The sequence below is a fragment of the Homo sapiens genome, chromosome 21 (assembly GCF_000001405.40).
Source record: "Homo sapiens chromosome 21, GRCh38.p14 Primary Assembly".
NCBI lineage: Eukaryota > Metazoa > Chordata > Mammalia > Primates > Hominidae > Homo > Homo sapiens.
In genome coordinates this window covers 23,007,562-23,019,394 of record NC_000021.9, presented here as the reverse complement: position 1 = coordinate 23,019,394, position 11,833 = coordinate 23,007,562, and positions in this window count along the sequence as shown.

Here is an 11,833-nt window from a genome sequence, read left to right as displayed (position 1 = left end):
GAGATGACGGTAGTAAATACAGGCATCACTGGGTAGTAAGGTGAAGCACAGCCATAGATAGGGGGAGAGTTTGAGATGAGTCTCAGCTAACGAAGTAGTTATTTAAGAACTAAAAGAAAGGGCTACCAGGGAGTAGCAACAGAAAATCCTAGTGTCTTGGAGCAAAAATAAGCATAGAAAGTTCAAACTGACAAATTGAAGGAAACTAGTGTGGCTGGACTGGGATGAGATGAATTAGTTGTTGTTGGAGGGAAAAAGAGTGAATTCAAGATCCTCATTACTATGCTCTGATCTAAGTAGCTTTTACTTACCCAACTTTATATCCTACCTCTGTTTTCCCTGCTCATTGCACATCATTACTTCTTAGTATTCAAGCAAAAATGGTATGAGGCGTCTTGAAATTCTCGTGTTATCACCCTCCTTTCCCAATTCTACTAAGTAGTGAGTCATTTTTTCAATGGTGTCCTCCTACTCACATTCATATGAATGATTCTTCAATGCCATAGTGGATCTAGAGATAGAATATGGTTGTTGTCTATGGGATCCATACAACTTCCTCATGAAGTCCTACTTAATGGAGGAGGAATCTTCTTCATCCTTAAGATAATTTACAGGTGGAAAATTAACCTATGTTGAAAGCTTATGTACTACTAGAAAATGTTCAAAGTTCCTCAGCCTCTAGTAATATCCTTTATCTTCTTGACATCCCAACGTATTAGAGGTAGTTATATTACAGATGAGGAATCTGAAGTGCAAAGATGCTTACTTATTTCCTCAAGTTCTCACAACAAAGAAGGGATATAGCTGAGATTTAGAACAAAATGGGCTTACTTCAGGGCCCATGTTTTAATCAGTACAACATACCTCCATTTGTAGGAATCGCTGTATGTTTTCATCTTATTCCCAAGCAACTTTCAGCCATAAAACAAAGGTAAAAATGGAGAAAAAACAGAAAACCCATTCATGTCTAATGAATGAGGTCAATTAAATGCAAATAATTCATAATTTAGTATGTGACACATACAATATCTGGGGTTATAGTGACTATTTGTCCTTTAGCATGATTATCCACTTCACTTGCTCACCAGCAAAGCTATTCTTATTATATGCAATATTTATCCATTAAACACAGAACCACATAATTTTCTTTACCAATACCAGTGACATGAGAACCATTACACAGCAATTATTCATAGGAAGTGAGCTCAACATATTATAACTACATTAAGGAAGTTCCCACATATCTGAGTAATAGCTATATAATTTTTTTTCCTGAGATACAGCCTCAGAGTTTCTAATTCATAGATGCTGAATTGGGGAGAGAAACTATGAGGTTTTCTATACCCTGCAAGTGTGTTAATTTGCTCTATTTTAAAAAATCTAAAGGCCAGGACATTGGCTCATGCCTATAATCCCAGCACTTTGGGAAGCTGAGGCGGGTGCCTCCCTTGAGCCCAGGGGTTCGAGATCAGCGTAGGCAACATGGCAAAACCCCATCTCTACAAAAAATGCAAAAATTAGCCAGGTGTGGTGGTGTGACTGTAGTCCCAGCTACTCAGGAGGCTGATCAAAGGAGGATTGCTTGAGTCTGGGAGGTAAAGGTTGAAGTGAGCTGAGATTGCACCACTGTACTCTAGCCTGGATGACAGAGTGAGATCCTGTCTCAAAAAACAAAAAAAAAAAGAAAGGAAAAACCTCAGTCATGGTGAGTTTAAAATGCTTTTTAAGGTTCTGTTGATATTATAGTTAGTTAAAATAAGTCATAGACTCTTAAGTACACATCAAATGCAAACTTTAGTTTGCATGTGTATTGTGGAAGGGTTGTGAGTTTTCCATTTATTTCATGTATTTATAGACATCTTAGTAGTTATTGGGATAATCTTTCCTGGAAGCTTATAGTGATTGCTATTTATAACCAGTAATACAGGTTATATAATCTAAGCATAAATTTGTTCACTGTTTAAATATGAAAACATATATTTTTATTGCTTCTAATATCTACCGTTTATTTTATGTTTTACATTCTTTTTTTAAAATTAAGTTTTGTGAGTACATAGTTGGTGTACATATGTATGGGGTACATGATATATTTTTATCCAGGCATATGGCATATTTAAATGGAGATCTTTCAACCCAAACATTTATTTTTGTTACGACATTCAACTATACTCTTTTAGTTATTTTAAAATGTATAATATTGTTGACTATAATCACCCTGTTGTGCTACGAAATTATATTTGCTTTTTATAGAGCTCATTATCATTTGTCTTCATTATTCAATCATTTTTCATTTATTTTCTACGAATAAATTATTTTTCCCTTTTGAGGAACATAAAAATTTAATAATGTACTTCATGTTGAAAACTTGGAGGGAAGATAAATAGGTGATGATAGATACACGGATAGATAGATAAATGATAAAAAGAGAAATAGAAAGTAAAGCTGGGTGCTCTTAATATTTCATATGATCAGCATGATATTTGAAAAAATCATTAAAAATGACGAGAAAGTGGACAGTGAGTTGTTAGGGAAAGTTCACGTCAAGTAGGCCGAGGGCAGAGGAAGCCCATAGCCCAGAAGGTGGCAGTGTGTTTCACATATTTGACCAAGAACACACAGGACAACAAATGCTGGAGTAGTGTTGAGTGAAATGGGGAATTTTAAGAGGTTAAATGAAGGTCTAGATGTTGTAGGGCATTGAAAGTCATTGTGAACTTTATGGCTCCAATTTTGAAAGCAATGAAAAGTCCTTAGTTTGAAGCTGAGAAGGGACATGATGAGATGGTGTAGACATTGTGACATACAGGTCATCTCACACTTTGATGAGAATCTTGTTGCCTCAGCTACCAGGATAGTGATGGCAGGCAGACAGCCTTTACCTTCCAGGTAATTCAGAGTTTGCCACAGCTGCAGAGAGCTTGCCCAATATCATGCCCTTTTCAGGGTGCATCCCACAAGAATGGGCCTCTAAGCTCATCTTGGAAAACTTTGAGATAGCCCTAAAAGGTTTTTACAGCTCCAGAGCACCCAGTGAGATTGGCTGTGTCTGCAGTTGGGTCTTCTTTCAACTTTAACTTCTCCTTCTGCCTATGTTGCTTCTTTCTTCTTCCATCCATAGCTGCTAAAGGAAAAGAAACACCTTGATAAACCTACTGTGGATTAAACCCCATCTGAGAATCTGCTTATTGAGGAGACCAACTTCTGTGTATGTGACACAGGTCTTAACAGGCTAACTATGGTGGTTGTGTTGAGAAAAAAAAAAAGAGGAATAGCTAGAAGTAGAGAGAGTACTTAGGAGACTACTGAAATCATGCAGTGGTTTAGGTGTCCTGGACCTAGTTTACAGTAGATGAGGTAAAAAAAAAAAAAATACGCAGACAACTTCCAAATGTATTATCAATTTAATATCAAATATGGGGTGTGAGAGGAGATAACAGTCAATTGTGACTCCCAAATTTTGAAGACTAAGAAAAAAAGTTGCTATTAAATGAGATACAAAAGGCTGCATTAGAAGCAAGCAGATTTTGGGAAAAGTTCCTAAGTACAGTTTTGTCATTTTAGGTTAAGATGTCTTTTATACTGCAGAGTGCAAACGCACAAGAAGCTTGGAAATGCCAATCTGGAGTAAAGTGTAAAACAAAGCAGCAAACATAAAAAGCCGTGTTTACTCATTTCTGCTTGCCAGCATAATTTCACAATGCCTCTGGCTCTATGATGACATATAGGTCTCCAGAAAGATGCTTTGAAGACAAAATAGAATACAGAACATGGTCCCCTACGTCTCTTGCCTGAGCCACTACATTCTTCAAAAGATAAATGACCTAGGCTGGACGCAGTGGCTCACGCCTGTAATCCCAGCACTTTGGGAGGTCCAGGCAGGTGGATCATGAGGTCAGGAGATCGAGAGCAGCCTGACCAACATGGCAAAACCCCATCTCTACTAAAAATACAAAAAATAACCGGGCGTGGTGGCGCACATCTGTAATCCCAGCTACTCAGGAGGCTGTGGCGGGAGAATCGCGTGAACCTGGGAGGCGGAGGTTGCAGTGAGCCGAGATTGCACCACTGCACTCCAGCCGAGGCGACAGAGCAAGACGCCATCTCAAAAAAAAAAAAAAAAAAAAAAAAAAAGAAAAGAGAAATGACCTTAGCCTTTTCCTTTTCTTACACATAAGATTAATAATGTCTGACAGGGTTAGTTATTATGCTTCTGTAATCTAGAACTAAATGTACTCTTACACCCAAACCACAATGTGATTCTACTTTAATGTAACTTGTAAGCAGGTGCGATGTGATTTTGCAAGTACTGAACCTCCACCATGGGTATATAAGAAGTGGGCTGAAATACTGATTGAATCTGTCTAAAGGGCTGCTCCTGAGACTCAGGCTTCAGTCTCTTCTCCCCAGTAAGATTAATGAATAAAATTCACCTTAATTCTGTAACTTGATTTATTTTCTGTAGTCAATGTGAATATAGCCACAGGCAAGAAGTATACGTTTAGAAATCATACAGGTTTAGATTATATTTAAAAACAATGAAGCGGGTTGGGAACACAAAAGAGTGTATGTGGAAAGATAAAGGATTCAAGGACTCAGGCCTGGAACCCTTCAGTGTAAAGAGGTGAAAGAATTGAGATGAAACTAAGAAAGAGTCACTGAAAATGGGTTTCTGGTGAAGGAGGACAGTGGTATTTATGAGGCAAGTGAAGCAAATATACAAATGAGGAGAGACTAATAATGTGTGTTAAATTCTGTGATGAGATGAAGAGGACTAAGACTTTACCATTACATATTAAAAAGCAAGGATCCTTGGTGATATTGACAAGAACGGCGTTAGTGAAGTGATGCATTGGTCAAAAGCCTAAACACAGTTGGTTCTGATGAGAACTGAAGAAAAGCTATTGTGAACAGCAAGTAAAGGAAACTCCTTTGGAAGAGCTTTCTGTAAGGGATGTGAATAAATGGGTTAGTGATTAGTAGGAAAATTAAGTCCAGTGAAAGTGATTTTAAGATGGCTGAAATAACGACATTTTTGCCTACTGCTGAGAAACAGCAGTAGAGAGAGGGAGGTTGAAGCTGTCGCCATAAATAAATGAATCCGGATCAGTGACCTTCAGGAAATGAGAGTGTCTGTGATCTAACCTCTGAGAAGAGGCATATGGACTGCCAAGCCAAAGCAGCAGAAAAGAAAGTATAGAACATGAGGACAACCGTGGGTAGAAGGGTAAAAGTGCTAATGTGAGCTGATAAGAATTTCCTTCTTATCAAATCTATTTTCATTATCAGATAAGAAACAAAGTTGTTTGGCAGGAATGAAGACAGACAAGGAGATGTTGGAGGTTTAAAAAGAGAGCAGAAGGTCTTAAGTACAATTGTGAAATATTCATTTTTATATTCTAAGAACTCTTAAATTGTATTTGTAGTTGTGGCTTAATGTATTCTACAAATTAATTCATATCAAAATAATAGATTTATATATACTGTCCTATATAATCATTTGATAAGAAAATTGATTGTTTATCATCACAGTGTTAGAGGCAATAAAAAGATCTTTTACTTTCTCAGCAGCTTTCTTTTTAATCTGATGTTATGCTGGAGGCAAAGCATTGCATTGATTTTCCCAAGCAAATTGCTTATACAAAACTCTGGTAGCAACTCTTCTGGCAGTCCTTAGATCAATGATAACAAATAAACAGTATCTATGTCTTTTTTGAATTATTTGTTTGCAAGCTAGAGAAATAGGCTACCTTTAGCAAAATAAGGTAATTTATTGGAAAGATAATGGGACAACCCACAGAATCAAAGCAAAGGCTACAGAAAACAATTCTTGAAAAGGACTGAAGCAAGAGAACTGCTGTAGTTTTAATAAGTCAATGGGCAGTCTCCTCAGACAACAAAGACAGGATGGATTAACCTAAACAATGGCTCAACATATCTATATCTTTTACAGGGACTGTAAAAACAGTGAAACACTTGTTCGTTCTTCTTCTGCCATTGAAGGCTACTGCTCTGTAACACCTCATTAGCTCCAGGGTTGTGAAAATTCAAAGCAATAGAAGATTGTTTTCAGTTTAAAGCTGGAATTAAGCCATATCTTTTTGGTTTCATCCATATTATACATTATAATGAAGCCAGTGATGATGGATTATTAATTAGGAAAATCGGTGGGATTTATGATTATAAATGTTTTATCTTTATGCACTGTATCTGTTATATGACTTACTACTCAATGGTAAAATGTTACTCTGATAATCTGGCGCCTGTAGTCCCAGCTACTCCAGGAGGCTGAGGCAGGAGAATGGTGTGAACCCGGGAGGCGGCGGAGCTTGCAGTGAGCGGAGATGGCGCCACTGCACTCCAGCCTGGGCGACAGAGCAAGACTCCGTCTCAAAAAAAAAAAAAAAAAAAAGTTACTCTGCTAAGTAGCTTGCAATTCACTTACTCTTTTAAAACAGCTGATCAGAAATAGGTACCATCTTTCTCTCATTTTTCTGCCCACCTTCTACTCATTACATAGGTTTAGTGTATTATTTCAAATACTAATGGGCAAGTGTAAATTCTTAAACAAAATGTCAAAAACCGGGCCTCTGCCAACAGAATCTCAATATTTATTCTTTTTCAAATATTTATGGCATGCAGTTGAATATACTAGTGCAGTTGATGCATATCATTTTCTCATTTCAATATAAAGAGCATTTTTTATTTACTGATATATTTAATTGTATAATTTAGAATTTACAGTACAATACTGTAACTAGACTATAACTTCTCCAACTTTAAGATTACATCACCCCAACCTTTAAATCTCTTAATAATTAACCATATTAGTATACATCACGACAGTTTTAGCTGTAAGTTTGTCATAATAACCTTACTATTCCATCGAGTTCTAGGTTTCCTCATTGCCCAAATTCAATGCCAGTTCTTAAGTTTATTGGAAAGAAAAATAATGCAATCAGAGCAGGAAGAAATAGAAGGAGAGCACAATCAATAAGTAGAAAAAAATGAGAAAGAAGTAGGAGAGACAATGAATAGAGATAATTGAACTATTTTACTTGTTTAAAGGGGGAAAATGACAACAATTAGTATTTCTGTTATGCATAAAGATCACTTACGAAAATCGGAAATTTCTGGCAATGTGACTACAAATTCAATAACTAATAAAACTTAGAATTCTATCCGTCTCCTTTCAATCACTTGTGATTCATGAGAATTTTCTGTTGTAGTTTTTTAACTTCCAGATTTTTAACACTGGTCATTTCCTATCATTTAATAATATTTAAAAATAAGATCCATCAAAAGTTATAAATTTTTCTATATGTATGCTTTAGATAACTCAATTCTCTGCCTTTTCATTTACTCTTTAGCTTTCTCCTCTCAAACTTAGTATTTTGCTACCTCTCTCCTCTCTCTCTCTCTCTCCCTCCTCTCTCTGTCTCTCTTTCTGTCGTTACTTTAAAGAGGTTCTGATATGGTAGAAGAGAGACACCTTTCCAATTCATTCCTCATCCAAGATATGAAATATGTGTTTAGATGACACTAGACTTTTGCAGCAAAATAATCTGGAGAGAAGATGAAGAATCATATTTCCTACTGTCACTGTTTATGATGATGGCCTTGCCAAAGTAGTTTACTGGAACTTGTATCTAAGGCAAACTACACACAGGCAAGGCTATTTTTATTTTAACATCATAGTGCAGGATGAGTGGAACTTCAATCTTCAAGTTTTCTTTGGAAATGTATTTCTTTTAAAGTTCCACTCACTCCTCTTTGATGAATGGTTAGAAAGGTAAACTCACTCTTCCATTTAAAAATAAGTGCCTCAGGGTCAATAATGTAATTTCTCCCACTGGACATTTTATAGGTACGAAATGGTCAAATAGTTTCTTGCTGAAAATAAATTGTGTGTGTAACATACAGCCTGATTTTTCCCCCAGTATATGTAGAACTTCTGTTTCTTTAGTTTTGTTTGTTGTAGTGAAGTGAGACTGTTGCATGAGGAGAAGATATGTGACATGGCCATAGTGTTTGACTCAGTGACTCACTGGTTAAATGTAAGACTGTTTATTTGTCAAAATCATTATAAATTTGTGTGACATATGGTGGCCCATATGTAGTAGACACAAAGTAGTAAAATGAACAAAAACCATAGAGGGTAGAATTTTTACACAATAGAAATTCACATATTTTTCTAATAGGAAAAACAAATCTGCTAATATACCTCAACCTCATCTTTGTCAATTATTTTCAACGTTTTTCTGTTTTTTTTAATACAACACAGTGGATTAAAAACATTTAATTACATTGTGACCTCATGGTGGCCAGCAATCTTACAATCAAAACACAATCAATTAATCCCTGTCACTTTCCTGAACCTTACTATCCTTGTAAGATTATCTGCATATTTTTCCTACTTAAATTCCTGGAAACAGGCTCTTTGTTCGTCTTTTCGAAGCCCAGAAAGGCTCATTTTTTCCACTGCGTTTTGGTTTCATCTATTAATAGCAGAGTCAAAGTGTCAAAGGGTAGATTGATATCCCAGGTGGAGTAAATACCTCCCTAAAATGTGCCTTGGAAACAATCTGTTGGTAAATGAGCAGATGCTCTCCTTCAGAAAAGGTTCAGAAGAACCTCTTGAACTTGCTGTCACCAGGTATGTTAACATCCCTCCTTCAAGACCTTAGTGACCCTACTTCAGACTTGTTAGAGTCTAAGGTTCTTTTTTCACATAAAATAATCAAGTTATGCACAATTACAGGTGACTCCAAGTACTGGGAAATCTCAAACAGCTACGAGTACTGGAAAGCAGTTTTCACCCAGTAGAGATCAGTTACACAATTTGGATGTAGGGAAGCCTCATGGGACATGTGATGGAAACAAAATACCTGTTTTCATATAACTAAAAGTATCTTCCTCTTAACCCCACATAAATATTTGGCTCCTTCCTGTCATTAACCTGGGTTTGCTATTTTCTTATGATCAAATTTTCTCTCTTGCAAACATTTGATATACATATTTACGCTATTATTGTTATTATTTTAGATCAGCATCATAGTCTCTAATCTATTACATTTACTTTTTAAACTATATTCTCAACTCCACCTTCATTTCTATCTAGTCTAACTTTCATACCACTGTCATCAGAGGTAGCTTTTTTAGCATAATTTACCCTAATTTTATAAAAGGTAGCAAAGAATTTAAGATAATTTTTGTAAGAAACTAGAATTTACATCTATTTCTCAAGGGCCAGACTTGTTTTGTTAAATAGTCATTCTCCAATTTTTAACAGAGTTTCTGACATAAATTTGGTGCTCAAAAGTATTCATTCAATTGAACATTTAATTAAAAAGCATTAGAATCTTCTTGAAGACGTAACTATCATTTATAATTTCATACTGATTGAAAGAATAAACAGTGCTTGGCACATTGTAGGTTTTCAAATGGTTATTTGAATGAATGGTTACTTGGAGTACATTAAAGATTCAGTCTAAAATGTAAAGGTAATAGTTTTAAGAGTTTCTCTACTTTAATGGGGATTCCTATTTTCAGGGCAAACAATTCTTAACATCTAGAGAGGAAGTTCAGCAGGTGGACAAACAACAACAATAATAATACATTTAAAAAGTGAGAAATGCATGGTGTTGGGCGTTGTGACTATTGCTGTCATGTCTACAGAGTCACACATAAATATTAGGAAAACTGTAATAATTAAATTATTCTTGCTTCGGGCTGTTTTAGAAAAGCAAATGTTAAAACATCCTGCCTAGTGAAACAGGAGGCAGCTTCTGAAAAAAAATGTATTATTTCTCCAGTGAAATAGCCAGCAGGAAGGACTGTTCTGTCTCTTTGTCTGAATCTGTCATGTTAGGACAAGATAACCAGAATTGTTGCAGCAATCTTGCTACGTGGATGAGAGTGAAACCAATCCAAGGATTAGACAATTAAGATATATGGAGAATTTAAACACTTGAAAATATTGCTAAACTGATTATTAAACCAACCTGAAATTTACCCCAGTGTTGGATTTCCTGAGGAAAACACTGTGTTTTTCTTATTTCCAAAAATAATTGAGTTATATTTTCATCATTTACAGTCCACAGCAGCCTAAGAGATTGACAATTTTTTGTGTTACTTTCTGTGGTGATTTGGTGTTTGCTTTATTTACTTAGTGCTATCCAAATTCAGTTTCACGAATAGTTAAGTTACATAACACAAATGCACAGAATGAAATTGAATTTAAAATACGGATAAGTAAAAATGACGATAAATAAGGGTATTATAGCAAGTTGAAGGCAAAAATGAATTCACTGATGAAAATATCATCAGCTATTCTGTAGTCAACAGTGGTATGCAGTTAATTTGATCCTGAGATTCCTATCAGCCTATGTGAGGAAGAAATCCTGTTAATTCAAAATGTGTATTCAATTAAGTAAAAAGAAAGCAGGCCTGGCACGGTGGCTCATGTCTGTAGCCTGTAATCCCAGCACTTTGGGAAGCCACGGCAGGAGGATCACTTGAGCCCAAGGAGTTTGAGATCAGCCTGTGCAACACAGTGAGATCTCCTCTCTACAAAACAATTTTAAAATTATCCTGGCTTAGTGGTGCTTGGCTATAGTCTCAGCTACTTAGGAGGCTGAGGCAAGAGGATTATTGAGCCCAGGAGATCAAGGCTGCAGTGAGGCATGATCACACCACCACTGCACTCCAGCCTGGACGACAGTGTGAGATCCTGTCTCAAAATAAATAAATAAGAAAAAGGAGGCTGTTGTACGGAAAAGAAACATTAGGTTTATTTTGGGGTGTGTGTGTGTGTATTTGTTTTAATTTGTTTTTGGCATGAAGTATAGATAGAAGTCTTTATATGGCAACAACTTTAAGAAGTACTTATAACTCAATGTCATTTCCAATTCAACCTGAGGAGGTAGCTTTCTTTCAACGTGAGAGAACAGGAGACATTGTATTTTTGTGTTTATCTATCTGTAATAAAAATGTGAGCTCCCAGTGACTAAAAAAATCCAATTCAAACTGTTTTGAACGTTGGAAAAAAAAAGTTTGGTACATTTTGCTAACCCAAAAGTTAAAGCAGAAGGCAATGTTTGACCTAAGTCTCCTCACCAAGGGCACCAAAGATCCAGCCTCTGCCTAGTACATTTTCTGTTATTTCTCTCAGGCCCAGCCTTCTGGGAGACCATGCATTTCTTTCAGGGAGCATCAGGTGCTCTTCTTGGAGTCACATAGGAAGGTCAACCTCCCTCCTCACAGAATTGCTGTTCAGATGCAGAGAGCTTCACTCTCAGAGCAGCCAAGCAAGCATAATTCCTTAGCCTGGTTTTCAGTGGCTTAAAATCTGTGAGACTCTTTCCTGAAACCAATGAATATAATTAAGCTGATTCGATTAAGCCAGTTACTAAGTCTCTATAGAGGTTAAAGTGTGGTCTATCCCACCAAAATTTATTTAGAGTTTTCCAAAATATTGTCAAAATTAATATTGAAGAACAGAGATAGAACAAAAAGTCATTGGAAAGGAGATTTTCCTCCCTGTCTCCTGTCCCTGTTTCCTTGTCTACCTTCTTCCTCTCTCCCCATCCCCCATCACCCGCTCTCGCTCCCCCTTCTATCACCCTGACTTCTCTCTTGTAGAGCTGGGACACCCTTATTTTCCTGTCCTTGGACATCAAAACTCTAGGATTTTTGGTTTTTGGATTCTGAAACTTACACCTGAGACCCTCTGGGTTTTCAGGCCTTCAGCCTCCAGCTGAGAGTGACATCTTTGCCTTCCCTGGTTCTGAGGCTTTGGGACTTGGAATGAGCCACACTACTGTAATATTTTAGG